The sequence below is a fragment of the Homo sapiens genome, chromosome 19 (assembly GCF_000001405.40).
Source record: "Homo sapiens chromosome 19, GRCh38.p14 Primary Assembly".
Taxonomy (NCBI): domain Eukaryota; kingdom Metazoa; phylum Chordata; class Mammalia; order Primates; family Hominidae; genus Homo; species Homo sapiens.
Window position 1 is genome coordinate 2,400,423 of NC_000019.10, and position 23,273 is coordinate 2,423,695.

A 23,273-nucleotide genomic window follows, 5' to 3' on the forward strand; every position below is an offset into this window, starting at 1 on the left:
TCCCAGCTGCTCAGGAGGCTGAGGCAGGAGAATTGCTGGAACCCAGGAGGCGGAGGTTGCAGTGAGCCAAGGTTGCACTACTGCACTCCAGCCTGGGTGACAGAGTGAGACTCCATCTCAAAAAAAAATTAATAAAAATAAAAAATAAAATTATACAGTGCATGATTTTGTATGCACCTGGTTTTAAAAAATAAAAAACAAAATTGTACGGTGCAGCAGGTCATGATTGGAGAGTCAGATGCAAGTTCAGACCATTGTTAAAGATTTGTTGCCAGGTGTGGTGGCTCATGCCTGTAATCCCAGCACTTTGGGAGGCCGAGGTGGGTGGATCACCTGAGGTCAGGAGTTTGAGACCAGCCGGGCCAACACGGTGAAACCCCATCTCTACTAAAAATAAAAAAATTAGCCGGGCATGGTGGCGGGCGCCTATAATCCCAGCTACTTGGGAGGCTGAGGCAGGAGAATTGCTTAAACCTGGTGGAGGTGGAGGTTGCAGTGAGCCAAGATAGCACCACTGCACTGTAGCCTGGGTAACAGAGTGAGACTCTGTCTTAAAAAAAAAAAAAAAATGGCCGGGCGCGGTGGCTTACGCCTGTAATCCCAGCACTTTAGGAGGCCGAGGTGGGCAGATCACAAGGTCAGGAGATCGAGACCATCCTGGCTAACACGGTGAAACCCCGTCTCTACTAAAAATACAAAAAATCAGCCGGGCGTGGTGGCGGGCGCCTGTAGTCCCAGCTGCTTGGGACGCTGAGGCAGGAGAATAGCGTGAACCCGGGAGGCGGAGCTTGAAGTGAGCCGAGATCGCGCCACTGCTCTCCAGCCTGGGCGACAGAGGGAGACTCCGTCTCAAAAAAAAAAAGTCACCTTGACCTTGACATGCAGGACATTTATGGTTCCCTCCCCACCAACCGTCACATGCTGGTCGAGGTCTTAATAACCTCTGCTCCAGCGTTCACAGAACTTCCCTTGGTGATAGGGAGGTTCCAGGCCTTGTGCAGTTTGGTGGCCGTCCGAGCCCTGGGGCTGGTGAGTGCTCCCCGTGGGGCAAGTGAGACTGAGGATCGGTGTTGAAGTAGATTTCATCCTCGCTGATTGAAGGCAGAATTTAAGTGACGCCAGGGTGGACAAGGCAGCTGCTCACTTTACTCCATGACCTGCCTGCAATAGGACGTTTTCTTTCTTTCTTTTTTCTTTTTTTTTGAGATGGAGTCTCGCTCTGTCGCCCAGGCTGGAGTACAATGGTGTGATCTCGGCTCACTGCAACCTCTGCCTCCCGGGTTCAAGCGATTGTCCTGCCTCAGCCTCCCGAGTAGCTGGGATTACAGGCGCCCGGCACCACACCCGTCTAATTTTTGTATTTTTAGTAGAGACAGGGTTTCACCATGTTGGCCAGGCTGGTCTGTAACTCCTGACCGCAAATGATCCACCCGCCTCAGCCTCCCAAAGTGCTGGGATTACAGGTGTGAGCCACCGCGCCCGGCCAATAGGATGTGTTCAAAGGGTTTTACCGCTTATTCAGTGAGCTTCTATCTTCTCTGTTTTGTTGCAGGGAGACATAAGGGACCCTTGGCAGAAAGAGACTTCAAATCAGGTATGTTTTTCTCTCTGGCCTTTTCTCTGATTGCAGTTACTGACAGAGGTTTCCTAAGACTCATTTCAAGGAAGTGAAGGAATCCCTGGAACGAGGCTGGGCGCGGTGGCTCACATCTGTCGTCCCAGCACTTCAGGAGGCTGAGGCAGGAGGATCACTTGAGGCCAGGAGTTTGAGACCAGGCTGGACAACAGAGCGAGACCCTATCTCTACAAAAATAATAATAAAAAAAGGCCAAAAATAATTTTTAAAATTATTATAAAAAATAATAAAAATTAGCCGGGCATAGTGGCGTATTGCCTGTACTCTCAGCTACTTGGGAGGCTGAGGAAGGAGGATCGCTTGAACCCAGGAGGCAGAGGCTGCGGTGAGCTGAGATCACGCCACTGCACTCCAGCCTGGGTGACAGAGTGAAACTGTGTCTCAAAAAATAATACATAAGGCCGGGCGCACTGGCTCATGCCTGTAATCCCAGCACTTTGGGAGGCCGAGGTGGGTGGATCACCTGAGGTCAGGAGTTCGAGACCAGCCTGACCAACATGGAGAAACCCCATCTCACTAAAAATACAAAATTAGCCAGGCGTGGTGGGGCGTGCCTGTAATCCCAGCTACTCAGGAGGCTGAGGCATGAGAATCACTTCAACCAGGGAGGCGGAGGTTGCGGTGAGCCGCGATTGTGCCATTGCACTCCAGGCTGGGCAACAAGAGTGAAACTCTGTCTCAAAAAAATAAATAAATAAAATAAAATAAAAATAAATAAAATAAATAGCCTGGGTTGGTGGTGTGCACCTGTGGTCCCAACTACTCAGGAGGCTGAGGCAGGAGGATTGCTTGAACCTGGAGTTAGAGGCTGCGGTGAGCTGTGATTGCACCACTGCACTCCCGTTTGGGTAACAGAGCTAGACCCTGTCTCAAAAACAAAAATAAAAACAAGGAAAAGGAAAGAAAAGGAGAGAGAGAGTTTCCACATTTCCGTACCCTGGTGGTACTAAGTATAGCATGGTGCCTTACTCCAACCAGGAGATGTAGCATGAGGTCAGAAAGTCGGTTCTTTTCTGTCCTCAGGCCGCTGTCCAGGGAACTCCTTTTCCTGCGGGAACAGCCAGTGTGTGACCAAGGTGAACCCGGAGTGTGACGACCAGGAGGACTGCTCCGATGGGTCCGACGAGGCGCACTGCGGTCAGTCTGCCTGTCTGGCCTGGTCTCTGGGCCCCTTCCCTTTTCCAGGGTCAGCTGCTGGCTCTGGTCTGTGGTCACTGTGCTTATTTCACTGGGCACACAGGCCTGGCATTTATGGGGGCTGGGCAGAGAAAAGAAAGGGGCACCCATGGTATGGGGAGAAACATGAGCAAACAGCAGAGTAAAGGAAAAGTGCAGGTGTGTGATGGGAAGAAGCCTGGGGAGAGGAGGGAGAAGATATCAGGCTGAAAACAGAGGTTGTGGCCACAGCCTGGGAAGTGTTGAATACCAGGAACTGGAGCTCTGTCCTATAAGCAGTGGGGCGTGGCCACAGGGATGTGAGCAACGGAAAGAGACAATTAAAATGCCGTAAGAGATTAGCAGGGTGCGGTGGCTCACACCTGTCATCCCAGCACTTTGGGAGGCCAAGGCAGGAGGATCACTTGAGGCCAGGAGTTTCAGACCAGCCTGGACAATATAGTGAGACCCCATCTCTACTAAAAAAAAAAAAAAATTGGCCAGGCACGGTGGCTCACACCTGTAATCCCAGCACTTTGGGAGGCTGAGGCAGGTAGATCACGAGGTCAGGAGATCGAGACCATCGTGGCTAACACGGTGAAACCCCCTCTCTACTAAAAATACAAAAAATTAGCCGGGCGTGGTGGCGGGCGCCTGTAGTCCCAGCTATTTGGGAGGCTGAGGCAGGAGAATGGCGTGAACCCGGGAGGTGGAGCTTGCAGTGAGCCAAGATCACGCCACTGCACTCCAGCCTGGCAACAGAGCGAGACTCTGTCTCAAAAAAAAAAAAAAAAAAGAAAAAAAAATTAGCCAGCGTGGTGGTGGGCGCCTGTGGCCCCAGCTACTCAGGAGGCTGAGGTGGAAGGATTGCTTGAGCCCAGTAGATTGAGGCTGCAGTGAGCTATGATTGCACTACTGCACTGTCCAGCCTGGATAATAGAGTGAGACCTTGTCTCAAAAATAAATAAAATGCTGGAAGAGTAGCCAATGTTTCTATAAAAATACTAGCCCATGCAATAAGGTAAGGACAGCAGTTTAAGTATTGAAAAGGAAGAGGAAAATCTTAATTCATTTGAAATCATTGTCTGTCTAAAATAAATCAATATCCAAACAGAAGGAGAGAAGCTGAAAGAGTAAAATAAAATGAATCAAGAAATTGACTAAAAAGCTATTTAGAATAAAGGCTGGGTGCAGTGGGTCACGCCTGTAATCCCAGCACTTTGGGAGGCTGAGGCAGGAGAATCCCTTGAACCTGGGAGGTGGAGGTTACAGTGAGCCAAGATCACGCCACTGTACTCCAGCCTGAGCTACAGAGCAAAACTCTGTCTCAAAAAAAAAAAAGCTGTCATTTTGCTTTATACAGTAATAATAAGATAGAAGATACAAAGGAAAAAATATCTTTCATGATCAGTAGTGACAAAAAATATCAAGACTAGGCCTGATGCCGTGGCTCAGGCCTGTAATCCCAGCACTTTGGGACGCCGAGGCAGGCAGATCACTTGATGTCAGGAGTTCGAGACCAGCCTGGTCAATTTGGTGAAACCCCGGCTCTACTAAAAGTACAAAAAATTAGCCAGGTGTGGTGGCGGGTGCCTGTAATCCCAGCTACTCAGGAGGCTGAGGTAGGAGAATCCCTTGAACCCGGGAGGCAGAGCTTGCAGTGAGTTGAGATCACGCCACTGCACTCCAGCCTGGACAACAGAGCGAGACTCCATCTCAAAAAAAAAAAAAAAAAATCAAAGACTAAACTTACAAACGTGCCATGCCTGTGATGATAATTATTATATATAATTATAGAATTACAAAATTTTGTGAAGGACATAAAAGTAGACTAAATAAGCAGACAGACACAATATCCTATACAAACATGTACGTGGGGTCATCGCCCCTTACCCACAGCTAAGATAGAGACCTTTCTCTGCCACTCACTGGTGCACGTGACCTTGAATGCTTGACCTACGTGCCAGGATGGGGCAGCCGAGGAGTTGAAGAGGAAGGGATGGGGAGACCCCAGAAGAGTCAGGGAAGCCAAGGAGGGGCCCCCAAGCATCTCTTTGAACTTAGGGACTGTAGACGAGAGACTCAGAGATGCATGTTCTGGGAGTTCAGGGTGAGGTCCTGCCTTCGTGGGGTCATGGCTGGTGACCTGCTGTCTTGCAGAGTGTGGCTTGCAGCCTGCCTGGAGGATGGCCGGCAGGATCGTGGGCGGCATGGAAGCATCCCCGGGGGAGTTTCCGTGGCAAGCCAGCCTTCGAGAGAACAAGGAGCACTTCTGTGGGGCCGCCATCATCAACGCCAGGTGGCTGGTGTCTGCTGCTCACTGCTTCAATGAGTAAGCCCCCATCCCAAAGCACCAAACCCGAACCCTCTGTATTTCTCCTGCCTTCCCTCGTGCACTGGGGACGTCACTTCTGGTTTCCTTAGAGCCCCTGGAAGTAATTTTTTCTTTTCCTTTCTTTCTTGCTTTTGCTGTTGTTGAATCTGAGGGCATTCTTTTTTTTTTTTTTTTTGAGACAGAATCTCGCTCTGTTGTCCAGGCTGGAGTGCAGTGACGCGATCTTGGCTCACTGCAAGCTCCGCCTCCTGGGTTCACGCCATTCTCCTGCCTCAGCCTCCCGAGTAGCTGGGACTACAGGCGCCCGCCACCACGCCTGTTGTATTTTTAGTAGAGACGGGGTTTCACCGTGTTAGCCAGGATGGTCTCAATCTCCTGACCTTGTGATCTGCCTGCCTTGGCCTCCCAAAGTGCTGGGATTACAGGTGTGAGCCATCGTGCCCGGCCTCTTTTCTTTCTTTCTTTCTTTTTTTTTTTTTTGAGATGGAGTCTCGCTCTGTCACCCAGGCTGGAGTGCAGTGGCGTGATCTCGGCTCACTGCAAGCTCCGCCTCCCGGGTTCACGCCATTCTCCTGCCTCAGCCTCCCGAGTAGCTGGGAATACAGGCGCCCGCCACCACGCCCAGCTAATTTAATTTTTTTTTGTATTTTTAGTAGAGTCGGGGTTTCACCATGTTAGTCAGGATGGTCTCGATCTCCTGACCTCGTGATCCGCCCACCTCGGCCTCCCAAAGCGCTGGGATTACAGGCGTGAGCCACTGCGCCCGGCCTCTTTATTTTATTTTATTTTTTCTTTTGAGACAGAGTCTCAGTCTGTCGCCCTGGCTGGAGTGCAGTGGTGCGATCTCAGCTCACTGCAACCTCCACCTCCTGGGATAAAGCAATTCTCTTGCCTCAGCCTCCCAAGTAGCTGGGACTACAGGTGCACGCCACCATGCCTGGCTAATTTTTTTTTTTTTGTATAATTAGTAGAGATGGGTTTTCGCCATGTTGGCCAGGCTGGTCTCGAACTCCTGTCCTCAGGTGATCCGCCCACCTCAGCCTCCCAAAGTGCTGGGATTACAGGCGTGAGCCACCGTGCCTGGCCCACTTGCTGTTCTTTTGAGAGTAGCCATGCCAGTGGGTGTGAAGTAGCATCTCCCTGTGGTTTTGACTTGGATTTCTCGGTGACCAATGACATTTTGTTGATGTTTTGCTCATTGTGGACATTTTTTGCATTCACTTTGATTTTTTAAAATATTCTGTCGTGATATTATCCTTTTTTTTTTTTTGAGACAGAGTCTCACTCTGTCGCCCTGCTGGAGTACAGTGGTGCAGTTTTGGCTCTCTGTAAGCTCCACCTCCCGGGATCAAGCGATTCTCCTGCCTCAGCCTCCCGAGTAGCTGGGATTACAGGCACCCGCCACCATGGCTGGCTAATTTTTGTATTTTTAGTAGAGACGTGGTTTTGCCATGTTGGCCAGGCTGGTCTTGAACTCCTGGCCTCAAGTGATCTGCCCGTCTCTGCCTCCCAAAGTGCTGGGATTACATGTGTGAGCCACTGCACCCGGCTCGATATCATTTATCTTGATGGCTGAGATTTTTGGCAACTCTTTAAATTTTGTGCCCAAGGCTCATGGCTGGCTCCCCTCACCCTAATCCCAACTCTGTCTCATCCTGTCTTTGTTTAAAATGTTGATACTTGGACAGGCTATAGTGAGCTTGTGGCTCATGAGTGTAATCCCAGCACTTTGGGAGGCTGAGGTGGGGGGATCACTTGAGGTCAGGAGTTTGAGACCAGCCTGGCCAACATGGTGAAAGCTTGTCTCTACTAAAAACACACAAAAAAATTAGTCGGGCATAGGGGGCGCAAACCTGTCATCCCAGTTACTTGGGAGGCTGAGGCACGAGGATCACTTGAACCCGGGAGGTGGAAGTTGCAGTGAGCTGAGATCACGCCACTGCACTCCAGTCTGGGAGACAGAGCGAGACTCTGTCTCAAAAAAACAAAACAAAACAAAAATGTTGATACTTCATGCATCATGCATTCTCCTGCACCTGTGATTTTTTTCTTTTCTTTTCTTTTTTTTTTTTTTTTTTTTTGAGACAGGTTACCTGTTGCCCAGGCTGGAGTGCAGTGGCGCAGTGATAGCTCACTATAGCTCATGACAGCCTCAACCTCCCAGGCTCAGGCAATCCTCCTACCTCAGCCTCCTGAGGAGCTGAAACCACAGGTGCACATCGCCACACCCCGCTAATATATATATATTTTTTCTGAGACAGAGTCTTGCTCTGTCGCCCAGGCTGGAGTGCAGTGGCACAATATCAGCTCACTGCAACCTCCACCTCCCGGGTTCAAGCAATTCTCTGCCTCAGCCTCCTGAGTGGCTGGGATTACAGGCGCCCATCACTATGCCCGGCTAATTTTTGTATTTTTAGTAGAGATGGGGTTTCACCATCTTGGCCAGGCTGGTCTTGAATTCCTGCCTTCGTGATCCTCCCGCCTCAGCCTCCCAAAGTGCTGGGATTACAGGCATGAGCCACCGCACCTGGCCTGTTTTTTGTTGTTGTTTTTAAAGACTGTGTTTCGCTATGTTGCCCAGGCTCGTCTTGAACTCCTGGGCTCAGGTGATCCTCCCGCTTCAGCCTCCAAAAGTGTGGGATTACAGGCATGAGCCACTGTGTCTGGCCTGATTTTTATAAATACTATTCATAAATATTAATGTGGGGGGATACCCCTTACATTTTGCACCCAAGGCGAGTGTCCCGTCTGCCTCCCCCGACGGCTCTGACCCTCGGTGGCTTCTGAGCTGGGGTTTGCTCCTGCAGGTTCCAAGACCCGACGAAGTGGGTGGCCTACGTGGGTGCGACCTACCTCAGCGGCTCGGAGGCCAGCACCGTGCGGGCCCAGGTGGTCCAGATCGTCAAGCACCCCCTGTACAACGCGGACACGGCCGACTTTGACGTGGCTGTGCTGGAGCTGACCAGCCCTCTGCCTTTCGGCCGGCACATCCAGCCCGTGTGCCTCCCGGCTGCCACACACATCTTCCCACCCAGCAAGAAGTGCCTGATCTCAGGCTGGGGCTACCTCAAGGAGGACTTCCGTAAGCATCTTCCTCGGCCTGCAAGTGAGCTCAGGCAGGCAGGCGGGCAAATAACGCAGAAAAGGGCCAGGTGAGGTGGCTCACGCCTGTCATCCCAGCACTTTGGGAGGCCGAGGCGGGTGGATCACGAGGTCAGGCGTTTGAGACCAGCCTGGCCAACATAGTGAAAACCCGTCTCTACTAAAAAATACACACACACACACACAAAATTAGCCAGGCATGGTGGTGCGTGCCTATAATTCCAGCTACTCAGGAGGCTAAGGCAGGAGAATTGCTTGAACCCAGGAGATGGAGGTTGCACTGAGCCAAGATCGCACCACTGGACTCCAGCCTGGGTGACAGTGGGAGGCTCCATCTCAAAATAATAATAATAATAATAATAATAATAATAATAATAATAATGATGATGCAGAAAAACACAGTGGGTCTGCATTATTCTCTGATTCTGTATTCACGAATTCCACTGCTTGCTAAGATATATTTATAACCCATCATCGATGCTACTGCGATTTTTTTTTTTTTTTTTTGAGATGGAGTTTTGCTCTTGTTGCCCAGGCTGGAGTGCAGTGGTGCGATCTCTGCTCACTGCAGCCTCCGCCTCCGGGTTCAAGCGATTCTCTTGCCTCAGCCTCTGAGTAGCTGGGACTATAGGCATGCACCACCACACCCGGCAACTTTATTTTTGTATTTTTTAGTAGAGACAAAGTTTCACCGTGTTGGCCGGGCTGGTCTTGATCTCCTGACCTCGTGATCTTCCTGCCTCAGCTTCCCAAAGTGTTGGGATTACAGGTGTGAGCCACCTCACCCGGCCAAAAAAATTGATCTTAATGTACTAAAATGCACATCTAAATAGTCACCTGTGGCCAGTGGCTACTATATTGGGTGGTGTAGTTCCAGGGGGTTGTCAATCAGCCACAAGATGACTGACAGAGGGAAATGAATCCAGTGGAGAAAAATAAGGTGGGGGTGGCAGCTGCAGCTTTAAATAGGGAGGTCAGGAGATGCCTCCTGGAGAGAGGAGATGAAGGAGCAAGTCAGGCAAATTCTGCAGGGACAAGCATTTCAGACAGCGGGAACAGCATGTGCAAAGGCCCTGGGGTGGGAGGACAGCAGGGCAGGGGTTGATGTGACTGATTTAATATTTAGCAAGGGTGGTGCTGGCTGCCGGGTTGGGAATGGATTTCAGTGGGGTGGGACCAGAGTAAGAGAAGTGAGTGGGGAACAGCTATAATGACCCGGGCAAGGATGGGCGTGAGACAGGGGCTGATTCTGTGTATATTTGGGGGCTGACCTGAGGCCAACTTGGAATTTGAGGACTGTGGACCTGGAATGAGGGGCCTGAGATCCCTGAGATGGGGAATGCTGAGGGGTGGAGCTTGCGGAAGGGAGATGAGGACCTCGGGCTGGGGGTGTTAAGTCTGATGCCTCTTCCTTGTCCAGGCAGAGAGTGTTACCAGGTGGGGTGTTTACCTTTTGTAGTTTCAGAGCCATGTGTTGTAGGTGGCCATGCTTGGAGCTGGGGAAACTGAGGGAGGCTTGGAGAGGAGCTGTCCTTCAGCCTCCCAGCTCAAAGTGGCTGCCAGGGCTCCGGCACTCTCACCCTGCTTTTCTCTCCCCATTCGGCCAGTGGTCAAGCCAGAGGTGCTGCAGAAAGCCACTGTGGAGCTGCTGGACCAGGCACTGTGTGCCAGCTTGTACGGCCATTCACTCACTGACAGGATGGTGTGCGCTGGCTACCTGGACGGGAAGGTGGACTCCTGCCAGGTGAGCCCCCGATGCCCCAGACCCCAGAAAAACACAGAAATAGACACGAGCATGTTCAAATGCTGAGCAATTCACAGATATCTGGATGCCCGCTGTGAGCCCCCAACGCCCCAGACCCCAGAAAAACACAGACACGAGCGTGTTCAAATGCTGGGCGATTCACAGATATCTGGATGCCCGTTCTTGAGGAATTTTAAAGCAGTTGGGATTGAGAGGCAGGTGCTGCTTAGAGGATCTTCCAGAAGCTCTAACCTGACTTCAATCCCTCCTCTGCCCTCCATGGCTCCCTGCTCCCTTCCAGTGGGCCCCAGGTGCGTGCCACAGAGCCTGGGGTCCCTGAGTAATCTCCCTGGCTATGATGGGGTCCCTGTGTAAATCCCCCCCAGCTGCCCTCCAAACCGGGACTTGTGTGGGGACACAGACACTGTTCCCAGCACTGGGCCTGATACAACGTGGCACCCAAGAAACACCTCTTGTATGAATGATGCCAGCACATACCCTGGGCATCAGATTCTCTCCGTCTGTATGGGAAGGGTTGGTCTATGGGAACCCCGTGGACTTTTGCCCCTGGGTGGTCAGCTGGGCCATGAGTGAGCTGCAGGCTCAACTCAAGAAGGTTCCAGGGCTGGGCACGGTGGCTCACGCCTGTAATCCCAGCACTATGCGAGGCCAAGGCGGGTGGATCACTTGAGGTCAGGAGTTTGAGACCAGCCTGAGCAACATGGCGAAACCTTGTCTCTACTAAAAATACAAAAATTAGCCTGGCGTGGTGGCAGGTGCCTGTAATCCCAGCTCCTCGGGTGGCTGAGGCAGGAGAATCATCTGAACCTGGGAGCTGGAGGTTGCAGTGAGCTGAGATCACGCCATTGCACTCCAGCCTGGGCGACAAAGCAAGACTCTGTCTCAAAAAAAAAAAAAAAAAAAAAAAAAAAAAAAAAAGAGAAAATCAGGGGTCATCCAAAGCTGCTTCTGCTGTATACCTGGAACCTTCTTTTTCTTCTTCTTCTTTTTTTTTTTTTTTGAGATGGAGTCTCACTCTGTCACCCAGGCTGGAGTGCAGTGGTGTGATCTCAGCTCACTGCAACCTCCGCCTCCCAGGTTCAAGCGAGTCTCCTGCCTCAGCCTCCAGAGTAGCTGTGATTATAGGCATGCGCCACCACACCTAGCTAATTTTTGTATTTTTAATTAAGACACTGTCTCGCTCTGTCACCCAGGCTGGAGTGCAGTGGCACCATCTTGGCTCACCTCCCAGTTTCAAGTGGTTCTCATGCCTCAGCCTCCCGAGTAGCTGGAATAACAGGTGCCCACCACCACGCCTGGATAATTTTTATACTTTTAGTAAAGACAGGGTTTCGCCATGTTGGCCAGGCTGGTCTCGAAATCCTGGCTTCAGGTGATCTGCCCACCTTGTCCTCCCAAAGTGCTAGGATTACAGGTGTGAGCCACCAGGCCCGGCCGACAATTATAATTTTTGTTTTCAAGGTGTCTCATTCTTTCTTCTTTCAGCCACCTGGTCTTGTTTGCAGTGTCCTGTTCTTGTTTCGTGGATACCATTTCTTTCTTTTTCTCTGAGGATCGTAATTTAATCCGTTATGTTTCTTCTATATTCTATATTTGTGGTTAACTGTATTTCAGGCAAACGTAAGTTATTCTGTTGTAACTGAGTGTCTTTATTTCATGGAGATTGGAATCCCTCAACTGGTGCTTAAGAATGAAAAGCTGGGTGCAGTGGCTCACACCTGTAATCCCAGTACTTTGGGAGGCTGAGGCAGCCAGGTCGCTTGAGGCCAGGAGTTTGAGACCAGTTAGGGCAACATAGCAAAACTTTTGTCTCTACAAAAACAAAAACAAAAACAAAAATTAGCTGGGTTTGGTGGTGCATGCCTGTAGTCCCAGCTACTTGAGAGGCTGAGGTGGGAGGATTATTTGAGCCCAGGAGGTGGAGGTTGCAGTAAGCCAAGATCACGCCACTGTACTCTAGCCTGAGTGACAGAGTGAGACGCCGTCTCAAACAAAATTGAAAATTTAAAAATGTCGCTCAATTCTTGCCGTGATCTTATATTTGCTATTCACTTTCTCTTGGCGAGGGACATTAACAGTTTGTGTTCTTGGATTCTATGTACCCTTTCAAGGGACCAAAGACCTCCTGGTCTCATTTATCCTTTGTGGTTGCCCAAATCCCTTTTCTACCCCAACCAACCCAGGTCCTCTTGAGAAAGCTTTCTCTTGTGTCTTGAGCTTCTGCACATGGGCTGGGCTGCCACTTCCTCTGTCAGCCTCTCGTGAGTCTTCATGGTTTCTGGTCCACAACCAGGGATCTCTCCTGCCTAATTTTTTTAGCATGGCTGTGGATTCCTGTCTTTCTTGTGCATACCTTTGCTCTTGTTTCTAAGGCCTGGTGGGTGAGGAAAAGATGGGAGAGACTGCTACATGTGCTTAGATTGCCATATTGAAACCAGAATCTGGAGAAAATGCTAGGAACTAATGAGAGGGCTCATGTTTAAGAATGTAAGAGTCGGCCAGGCACGGTGGCTCACGCCTGTCATCCCAGCACTTTGGGAGGCTGAGGTGGGCAGATCACTTAAGGTCAGGAGTTCAAGACCAGCCTGGCCAACATGGTGAAACCCCGTCTCTACTAAAAATACAAGAAATTAGCCGGGCGTGGTGATGCGTGCCTATAATCACAGCTACTTGGGAGGCTGAGGCAGGAGAATTGCTTGAACCTGGGAGGAGGAGGTTGCAGTGAGCCGAGATCACGCCATTGCACTCCAGCCTGGGCAACAGAGCAAAACTCTATCTCAAAAACAAAAACAAACAAAAAAACGATACACAGAACGTAAGGGTCAGGGTGAACTGGATATGGGAAGGTAAAAAATGGTGAGGCCGGACGAGTGACAGCAGATGAGCACTTTGGGAGCAATGCTGCAGCTACCAGTGAGATATATGGAGGCACCCGCGTGGCAGCCATACTGCCAGCCTAAGCAAGTGGTGACATTATCAAAGATCTACTGAGTTAAGAAGAGGAGGGGATGTTATTTATTTGGGTCACGTTTTGGCCTGCCAGAGGTAGGACTGAAAGACATCTTAGAGATCCTATAGTCCAACTGTCTTGGGTTTTGTTTTTTTTCCTCCACAGAAGAGGAAACAGGTTCTGAGATGTCAATGATCAGCCCCAGGTGCTCTGTGAGCTTGTGTGGAGAGAGGTCCTGGCTGTCCCAGCTCAGAGCTCCTTCTTGGGCCTCGTAGCACTGGTGTCTGGACTGGCTGCTGCCGACCCATCCTGAGGGTGTGTGTTGGTTTCCTAGGGTGACTCAGGAGGACCCCTGGTCTGCGAGGAGCCCTCTGGCCGGTTCTTTCTGGCTGGCATCGTGAGCTGGGGAATCGGGTGTGCGGAAGCCCGGCGTCCAGGGGTCTATGCCCGAGTCACCAGGCTACGTGACTGGATCCTGGAGGCCACCACCAAAGCCAGCATGCCTCTGGCCCCCACCATGGCTCCTGCCCCTGCCGCCCCCAGCACAGCCTGGCCCACCAGTCCTGAGAGCCCTGTGGTCAGCACCCCCACCAAATCGATGCAGGCCCTCAGTACCGTGCCTCTTGACTGGGTCACCGTTCCTAAGCTACAAGGTATTTTCGGGGCAGAAAGGTAGAAGATGATGTACGTGCCTATCTTGATTTAGGGAGAACGGATATCGTCATAGTATCTTCATAATTTTGGATCTTCCTGTTCAAGGAAAGGTCACATGTGTATCCGTTTATTCCCATCTTACGTTGCGTGTACCCTCATGGTATCTTTCTGTCCACAGGTCTTGCCCATGTCTTGTTAACTATGGCGATCTATCAATGGGATACTTTTTTTTTTTTTTGAGACGCAGTCTTGCTCCGTCGCCCAGGCTGGAGTGCAGTGGCGTGATCTCGGCTCACTGCAACCTCCGCCTCCCAGGTTCAAGTGATTCTCCTGCCTCAGCCTCCTGAACAGCCGGGATTACAGGCACAGGCCACCACACCCGGCTAATTTTTGTATTTTTAGTAGAGACGGGGTTTCCCCATGTTGGTCAGGCTGGCCTCGAACTCCTGACTTCATCATCTGCCCACCTCAGCCTCCCAAAATGCTGGGATGACAGGTGTGAGCCACCATGCCCGGTCTGGAATACTTTCTATTGTATTTTCAAATAGTTTGTACCCAGACAACTTGTAGGACTGGCAGGGTGCGGTGGCTCGTGCCTGTCATCGCACACTTTGGGAGGCAGAGGTGGGCAGATCGCTTGAGGTCAGGAGTTCAAGACCAGCCTGGCCAACATGGCAAAACCCCATCTATACTAAAAATTAGCTGGGCATGGTGGAGGGCACCTGTAATCCCAGCTACTTGGGAGGCTGAGGCAGGAGAATCGCTTGAACCCAGGAAGCGGAGGTTGCAGTGAGCTGATACGGTGACATGGTGCCACTGCACTCCAGCCCGGGCAACAAGAGCACAACTCCATCTCGAAAAAGAAAAAAGAAAACTTGTAGGACTATATCTCTGTTTCCAAAAACTGTTAGTTGCATTCCTATTTTTTTTTTTTTTTTTTTCTGAGACGGAGTTTCACTCTTGTCGCCCAGGCTGGAGTGCAGTGGTGTGATCTCGGCTCACTGCAACCTCCACCTCCCGGTTCAAGTGATTCTCCTGCCTCAGCCTCCTGAATAGCTGGGATTACAGGTGCCCATCACCATGCTTGGCTAATTTTTGTATTTTTAGTAGAGTTGGGGTTTCGCCATGTTGGCCAGGCTGGTCTCGAACTCCTGACCTCAGGTGATCTGCCCGCCTTGGCCTCCCAAAGTGCTGGGATAACAGGCATGAGCCACCGCGCCCGGCCATGCTTCATTTCAGTTCACCTACACCCCACACTCTGTTCCGAAACCCCCTAACAATCGTACCCTTCCTTTTCTCAGCCGCCCCATGGGTCTCCTGGAGTGCAGCCCCGTCTTTGCAAGGAGGCCATAAACCTGGCTTTGTGGGCTGCGGGTCTGTGGTGGGGTCTGTTGCGGGGGGTCCTCGGGCTGACTGGGCCGCTGTATGTTTCTTTCTTAACTTCTGTCCCCGAAGCGAGGCCACGAACTTGCTGCAGGACCTTGGGCAAACTACGGACACCTTGAAGCCTCCACGGCTTCTTGTGTGGAACGGGAGGGATTGCGGCATCTTCAGGGCCTGGCTGCAACCGGTGTCCTGGGACCACCCCACCGGATGCTCCCACCCGAGCAGGCCAAGATCCCCAGACCTGGTCTTGTGTCCTCCTTCCAGAATGTGGGGCCAGGCCTGCAATGGAGAAGCCCACCCGGGTCGTGGGCGGGTTCGGAGCTGCCTCCGGGGAGGTGCCCTGGCAGGTCAGCCTGAAGGAAGGGTCCCGGCACTTCTGCGGAGCAACTGTGGTGGGGGACCGCTGGCTGCTGTCTGCCGCCCACTGCTTCAACCAGTAAGGCCCGCCTCCTCCAGGAAGGCTGCCCGGCTTCCCCTCCTCACCAGCCCCTCCCTGTCAGAAACCATCCTGCTGGGGCTGCTGCATGGACCCCACTGGGGAGCAGCCCTTCCTCTCCTGAGGGCAGCTGAGAGACAGGAGGGAGCCGGTGCCAAGGCTTCTAAGGACAAACAGGGCCTAACCAGGGGAGGGGGAGGAGGGTTCCTTCCCCATTGCTTGCTACCCAGGCAGCGTTTATCTTGGAGATTCCCAGGCATGGTGGCCCGCATCTGTGGTCCCAGCTACTCAGGAGCGTGAGGCAGGAGAATTGCTTGAGCCCAGGAGGTCGAGGCTGCAGTGAGCCTGATGGTGCCACTGCACTCCATCTGGGGCAACAGAGCGAGACCCTGTCTCAACAAAAAAGAGACTCATAAAGCTGTAGGGGGTTGGGGGGGGGCATTGGCACAGGTGTAGAAAATGAAGCCTGAGGGTCCCCTGACTTGTCCGAGGTCCCCCAGCTTGGGATCCTTTTCAGGAGGAGCCCAGCAGCCCCTCTTTCCCTGGTCCTCCTCCCTGGAGCCGAAGGTCAGAGGATGGTCCTGGGGCCCAGGCAGCCCTGTGTGGCTTCCTGGGGGTGTGCATCAGCCCTGTCCCTCCCCAAGAAGGCGGGCATGTGCTGGAGGGCAGGCATGTCTGAGGGCCCTGTCTCCATAGCACGAAGGTGGAGCAGGTTCGGGCCCACCTGGGCACTGCGTCCCTCCTGGGCCTGGGCGGGAGCCCGGTGAAGATCGGGCTGCGGCGGGTAGTGCTGCACCCCCTCTACAACCCTGGCATCCTGGACTTCGACCTGGCTGTCCTGGAGCTGGCCAGCCCCCTGGCCTTCAACAAATACATCCAGCCTGTCTGCCTGCCCCTGGCCATCCAGAAGTTCCCTGTGGGCCGGAAGTGCATGATCTCCGGATGGGGAAATACGCAGGAAGGAAATGGTGAGCGCTGCCCCATCGAGGGGAACGGTGGATTTATTCTCCAGGGCCTGGCCTGGGGAGGGTCAGGATGGGCATCTCTTACCTGGACCCTAAACCAATTCCACTGCACAGGGACCTCTGTGGCTGATCCCTTTGTCTTTGGTCCCGCTGCCCACACACCTCTCACTTCCCCATTCCATCTGGGGGCAAAATCTGGCTGTTGCCTGTTTGTATAAACAAAGTTTTATTGGAACAGGGGCCATGTTCACACATCAACAGATTGTCTATGGCTGCTTTCCTGCAATAGCAGCAGAGTTAAATACTTGTGACAGAGACTGGCCCTTAAAGCTGAAAATATTTAATTCTCTGACCATTTATAGAAAATGTTTGCCGGCGGCCACATGTGGTGGCTCACACCTGTAATCCCAGCACTTTGGGAGGCCCAGGAGGGTGGATCATTTGAGGTCAGGAGTTTGAGATCAGCCTGGCCAACATGGTGAAACCCCGTCTCTACTAGAAATACAAAAATTAGCCGGGTGTGGTGATGCATGCCTGTAATCCCAGCTACTCGGGAGGCTGAGGCAGGAGAATTGCTTGAATCTGGGAGGCAGAGGCTGCAGTGAGCTGAGATTGTGCCACTGCACTCCAGCCTGGGTGACAGAGCGAGACTCCCATCTCAAAAAAAAAAAAAAAAATAGAAAAATAAAAAATTAGCCGAGTATGGTGGCACATGCCTGTAGTCCCAGCTACTTAGGAGGCTGAGGCAGGAGAATCACTTGAGCCTGGGAGTTCAAGGCCGCAGTGAGCCATGATCATGCCACTGCACTCCAGCCTGGGCAACAGAGCAAGACCCTGTCTCAAAAAACAAAAAAAGCAAATGCTCACTGGTGCTTGCTTGCGCTAGTCTATCCCGAGACCCCTCCCACTCCAACAGTTAATGCTTCCCTTGACCTCAGAATGGCCTCCTACACCTTACCCAGGTGCTAGGGCGGCAGCCCCATGGGGACAGTGGGGAGACTCTTGCGCTCTGAGCGGGCCATCAGGCCCACCTCCTCCTCACTCTGTGGCTTTGTGAGATTCCTGCAACTCTGTGAGCCCTGGTTTCTTCGTCTGTGGGGTGGGGATGCTGCATCTCGGGGCTGTTATCGGAGCGGAACTGGAGCTGCTCTGATGATCACTGTGCACGTGGCCTTTCTGGCTCTTTCCCTGGTAGCCACCAAGCCCGAGCTCCTGCAGAAGGCGTCCGTGGGCATCATAGACCAGAAAACCTGTAGTGTGCTCTACAACTTCTCCCTCACAGACCGCATGATCTGCGCAGGCTTCCTGGAAGGCAAAGTCGACTCCTGCCAGGTAAGCATTCAAAGGGGGAAAGCGGGCAATATTTCCATGAAATGCCCACAGCCGTTCACCCAGCAGTTCTTTGTGTGCAGACCTAGATTTTTTTCCTTTCTTTCCTTCCCCCCCTCCTTCCCTCCTTGTCCTTCCCTCCTTTTCCTTTCCTCCTTTCCTTCCCTCCCTTTCCCTCCCTCCCTCCCTCCCTCCCTTTCCTTCCCTCCCTTTCCCTCCCTCCCTCCCTTCCCTTCCCTCCCTCCCTTTCCTTCCCTCCCTGGCCTTTCCTTCCATTCCTTCCCTCCCTCCCTTTCCTTCCCTCCCTCCCCTTCCCTCCCTCCCTTTCCTTCCCTCCCTCCCCTTCCCTCCCTACCTTTCCTTCCCTCCCTCCCTCCCTTTCCTTCCCTCTCCTCCCTCCCTTCCCTTCCCTCCCTCCCTTTCCTTCCCTCCCTGGCCTTTCCTTCCATTCCTTCCCTCCCTCCCTTTCCTTCCCTCCCTCCGTTTCCTTCCCTCCCTCCCTCCCTTTCCTTCCCTTCCCTCCCTACCTTTCCTTTCCTTCCCTCCCTCCCTTTCCTTCCCTCCCTCCCCTTCCCTCCCTACCTTTCCTTTCCTTCCCTCCCTCCCTTTCCTTCCCTCCCTCCCTTTCCTTCCCTCCCTCCCCTTCCCTCCCTACCTTTCCTTTCCTTCCCTCCCTCCCTTTCCTTCCCTCCCTCCGTTTCCTTCCCTCCCTCCCTCCCTTTCCTTCCCTTCCCTCCCTACCTTTCCTTTCCTTCCCTCCCTCCCTTTCCTTCCCTCCCTTCCCTTCCCTCCCTACCTTTCCTTTCCTTCCCTCCCTCCCTTTCCTTCCCTCCCTTCCCTTCCCTCCCTACCTTTCCTTTCCTTCCCTCCCTCCCTTTCCTTCCCCTCCCGCCCTCTCCTTCCCTTCCCTCCCACCCTCTCCTTCCCTTCCCTCCCGCCCTCTCCTTCCCTTCCCTCCCACCGTCTCCTTCCCTCCCTCCCTTTCCTTCTCTTCCCTCCCTCCCTTTCCTTCCCTTCCCTCCCTACCTTTCCTTCCTTTCCTTTCCTTCTCTCTCTCTCTCTGTCTTTCTCTCTGTTTCTTTCTTTCTGACGGAGTCTGGCTCTGTCGCCCAGGCTGGAGTGCAGTGGTGCGATCTTGGCTCACTGCAACCTCCGCCTCCCAGGTTCAAGCGAGTCTCCTGCCTCAGCCTCCCGAGTAGCTGGGATTATAGGCGCCCGCCACCATGCCCAGCTAATTTTTGTATTTTTAGTAGAGACGGGGTTTCACTATGTTGGCCAGGATGGTCTCGATCTCCTGATGTCGTGATCTGCCCACCTGGGCCTCCCAAAGTGCTAGGATTACAGGCGTGAGCCACTGTACCCAGCCTAGATTTCTTTTTCTTTTTCCTTTTTTTTTTTTGAGATGGAGTCTTACTCTGTCGCCCAGGCTGGAGTGTAGTGGCGTGATCTCGGCTCACTGCAACCTCTGCCTCCTGGGTTCAAGTGATTCTCCTGCCTCAGCCTCTGGAGTAGCTGGGACTACAGGCATGTGCCTCCACGTCCAGCTAATTTTTGTATTTTTAGTAGAGACGTGGTTTCACCATGTTGGCCAGGCTGGTCTCGAACTCCTGACCTCAGGTGATCCGCCCGCCTCAGCCTCCCAAACTGCTAGGATGGCAGGCCTGAGCCACTGCACCCGGCCATAGCCACCATGCCCAGATTTCTGAAGGGCTCAACCGTGCACACACAGACAGGTTAATTTTCAGGCTGGGTGCAGTGCCTCATGCCTGTAATTCCAGTGCTTCAGGAGGCTGAGGTAGGATCAGTCGAGGCCAGGATTGCAAGACCAGTCTGGACAACATAGTGAGACCCCGTCTCTACAAAAATTTAAAAAAAAAATTTGTCAGGCAGAGTGGCAGGTGCCTGTGGTCCCAGCTCCTTGGGCAGCTGAACTGGGAGGATCTCTTGAGGCCAGGTGTCTAGGCTGCAGTAAACTGTGATCACACAGCTGCACTCCATCCTGGGCGACACAGCAAGACCCTATCTCAAAAAACGAAGGGCGGGTGCAGTGGCATGCATTTTGGGAGGCCGAGGCAGGCAGATCACCTGAGGTAGGCAGTTCAAGACTGGCCTGGCCAACATGGCGAAACCCTGTCTCTACTAAAAAACTACAAGAATTTAGCCAGGCATGGTGGCGGGTGCTGGTAATTCTAGCTACTCCGGAGGCTGAGGCAGGAGAATTGCTTGAGCCCAGGAGGCGGAGGTCACAGTGAGCCGAGATCATGTCACTGCACTCCAGCCCGGGCAACAGAGTGAGACTCCACCTCAAAAAAAAAAAAAAAAAAATGGCATCAGATTTCAATAGTAACTCTCAAAGTTAGATGCCATTATTACTAATCAATACAAAATATCAATGACAGTGTAAATGCCCATTCACACACAGTAGTTAAAAGGAAGGTGGTAAATAACCTGCAATGGGAACCTACCCAGCCCAAGTTCTTCAATCAGACTTCTGAGTTCAAATCCTGCTTCAACTACTGTGTGACCCCAGGCAAGTGCCTTAACCTCTCTGGGACTCTGATCCCCATATGTAAAGTGGGAAGCATAGCAATGCCTGTCTTCTAGGAGTGTTGTGAGATCGGTGTCTTGCATAGTCTTTTCTTCCTATATATTCATTATATTTGTTCTTTATATCTGACAATAAAAATAGAATAATAGGTATTTATAGTATCTATTATTATACTATTTATTCTCTATATAAATGGGCGATTCACAATAGTTAGCTTTTTATCTTGAAAAGAATGTTGAGGCCAGGCCAGGTGGCTCACATCTGTAATCCCAGCACTTTAGGAGGCCAAGGCGGGTGGATCATCTGAGGTCAGGAGTTGGAGACCAGCCTGGCCGACGTGGTGAAGCCCCCATCTCTACTAAAAATACAAAAATTAGCCGGGCGTTGTGGCTTATGCCTGTAGTTCCAGCTACTCGGGAGGCTGAGGCAGGAGAATCACTTGAACCCAGGAGGTGGAGGTTGCAGTGAGCCGAGATCATCCCACTGCACTCTGGCCTGGGCAACAAGAGCGAGACTCTGCCTCAAGAAAAGAAATAAGCTTGGCAGCTAGTGGTCAGGGGCTACTTCTAGATGGTGGGACTATTCATGGCTGTTATTGTTGTTATTTATTTATTTTTTTTTTTGAGAGGGAGTCTTGTTCCGTTGCCCAGGCTGGAGTGCAGTGGTGCGATCTCAGCTCACTGCAAGCTCCGCCTCCCGGGTTCACGCCATTCTCCTGCCTCAGCCTCCCTAGTAGGTGGAACTACAGGCGCCCACCACCACGCCCAGCTAATTTTTGTATTTTTAGTAGAGACGGGGTTTCACCATGTTGGTCAGGCTGGCCTGGAACTCCTGACTTCATCATCTGCCTGCCTCAGCCTCCTAAAGTGCTGGGATTACAGGCGTGAGCCACCACGCCTGGCCTTATTGTTATTATTTTTAGAGTTTTTCTGCATTGTTTTACCTCCTCAAAACAAAAGCAAGAATGATGGAAACTCAGAGAGGAGAAGTGACTCACTCCAGGTCACACAGCCAGGCATGGGGCTGCAGTCAGGTCTCCAGACCCGCGCTGTGCCCTCTGCCCCCCGCCCTCGATGGCTCCCACCCACTGTAGGAACGCAGGAGGGTATGGCAGTGCTGGGAAGAGAGGGTCCCTGGAGGACCAACCAGTGCTCTTTCCTTCCTTTCTAGGGTGACTCTGGGGGCCCCCTGGCCTGCGAGGAGGCCCCTGGCGTGTTTTATCTGGCAGGGATCGTGAGCTGGGGTATTGGCTGCGCTCAGGTTAAGAAGCCGGGCGTGTACACGCGCATCACCAGGCTAAAGGGCTGGATCCTGGAGATCATGTCCTCCCAGCCCCTTCCCATGTCTCCCCCCTCGACCACAAGGATGCTGGCCACCACCAGCCCCAGGACGACAGCTGGCCTCACAGTCCCGGGGGCCACACCCAGCAGACCCACCCCTGGGGCTGCCAGCAGGGTGACGGGCCAACCTGCCAACTCAACCTTATCTGCCGTGAGCACCACTGCTAGGGGACAGACGCCATTTCCAGACGCCCCGGAGGCCACCACACACACCCAGCTACCAGGTACCGGGAGAGACGGAGGGATCCCTGGGAGTGGAGGGTCCCATGTTAATCAGCCTGGGCTGCCTAACAAGACATAACGTCGTCCACTTTGGGAGGCCGAGGCGGGCGGATCAAGAGGTCAGGAGATCGAGACCATCCTGGCGAACACGGTGAAACCTTGTCTCTACTAAAAAAATACAAAAAATTAGCCAGGCGTGGTGGTGGGCGCCTGTAGTCCCAACTACGCGGGAGGCTAAGGCAGGAGAATGGCATGAAGCCGGGAGGCGGAGCTTGCAGTGAGCTGCATGCCACTGCACTCCAGCCTGGCAACAAGCGAAACTCCGTCTCAAAAAAGAAAAAGACATAACGGCCTCTCTGGCTGGGCGCGGTGGCTCATGCCTGTAATCCCAGCACTTTGGGAGGCCAAGGCGGGTGGATCGCCAGAGGTCAGGAGTTCCAGACCAGCCTGGCCAACATGGTGAAACCCCATCTCTACAAAAAAATAAATAAAAAAAGCCAGGCATGGTGACAGGTGCCTGTAATCCCAGCTACTTGGGAGGCTGAGGCAGGAGAATCGCTTGAACCCAGGAGGTGGAGGTTGCAGTGAGCCGAGATCGTGCCATTGCACTCCAGCCTGGGCAACAGAGTGAGACTCCAGCTAGATAATAGTAATAAAAATAAAAAGCCAGGCGTGATGGTGCATGCCTGTGGTTCCAGCTACTGGGGAGGCTGAGACAGGAGAATCATTTGAGCTCAGGAAGCAGAGGCTGCAGTGAGCCGAGATCATGCCATTATACTCCAGCCTGGGTGACACAGCCTGTCTCTAAAAAAATTAAAAAAAAAAAAAAAAATGAAAGCAGGGACTTTGATGGTTCACAGCTGTGCCATGTCCTTGGGTGCGTGTTTCTTGCTAACTTGGCAGCTGCCCTCATGTAGGTCTGTCCCTGCAGCCTGGGGGCTCTCACTTTCTCAGTCTCAGCTGATTTTGACTTTTTCAATAGCTATGGCGTGGGATCTCTTTGGGCCCAAAAGAGGTGGAGAAGGCCCCCCTCAAAATACAGGCGGGTTCTGTGTGGAGGTAGCTGGTGTTCCCAAGGACAGCGGCTGCGGCTGCTGTCAGATTATCCAAGGCCACCTGGTCTTATGTCAGGGCCAGACGGTGCCAAGGCTGGTGGGGAACTGGCATTTCCCCTTACTGGCCTTGGTAGCTGCTGCGGGTTGGATGGCGGTTGGTGGGGGGTGGGGGGCGGGGGGGACCCAGGGAAGCCAGCTGGGTGGTGATAGAGGGCGGCGGGGGGGCTTGCCCCTGAGGAGGAAAACACGCCTCTGGAGACAGCAGGTGGGTATGGGACCCCCTCCATGGGTGGTAACAGGGTCCCTGAAACCCCCTGGAAACCACCCACGTGTTCTTTCCACAGCTGGGTTCTGAGGAAGGCCTTTGCGCTTGGCACCGTCTGGGGAGGGCTTGG

The 23,273-nt window shown here is 52.7% G+C and overlaps 1 protein-coding gene and 1 long non-coding RNA gene across 10 annotated transcripts in view; one reads left to right on the top strand and one right to left on the bottom strand.

The window, feature by feature from the left end:
• TMPRSS9 (transmembrane serine protease 9) overlaps positions 1-23,273 on the top strand; it is a 65,997-nt gene that overhangs the window by 40,158 nt on the left and 2,566 nt on the right. For 6 of the 9 annotated variants that reach the window (NM_001395513.1, XM_011527978.3, NM_182973.3 and 3 more), the window contains 10 exons: positions 1,553-1,594; positions 2,660-2,773; positions 4,952-5,123; positions 7,934-8,208; positions 9,836-9,972; positions 13,278-13,596; positions 15,248-15,419; positions 16,116-16,387; positions 17,580-17,716; positions 21,432-21,825. In NM_001395513.1, the coding sequence (NP_001382442.1) occupies positions 1,553-1,594; positions 2,660-2,773; positions 4,952-5,123; positions 7,934-8,208; positions 9,836-9,972; positions 13,278-13,596; positions 15,248-15,419; positions 16,116-16,387; positions 17,580-17,716; positions 21,432-21,825 (2,034 nt within the window). Of the gene's footprint in view, positions 1-1,552; positions 1,836-2,659; positions 2,774-4,951; positions 5,124-7,933; positions 8,209-8,963; positions 8,998-9,835; positions 9,973-13,277; positions 13,597-15,247; positions 15,420-16,115; positions 16,388-17,579; positions 17,717-21,431; positions 21,826-23,273 lie in introns of those variants that run through there. The other 3 variants (NR_169739.1, NR_169740.1, XM_011527980.1) reach the window with 2 other exon arrangements.
• Positions 16,403-17,586, bottom strand: LOC124904612 (uncharacterized). The gene is made up of 2 exons (XR_007067089.1): positions 17,343-17,586; positions 16,403-16,590 (listed from the first exon to the last, which is right to left on the bottom strand). It is a non-coding gene; the product is annotated as an uncharacterized LOC124904612 (long non-coding RNA).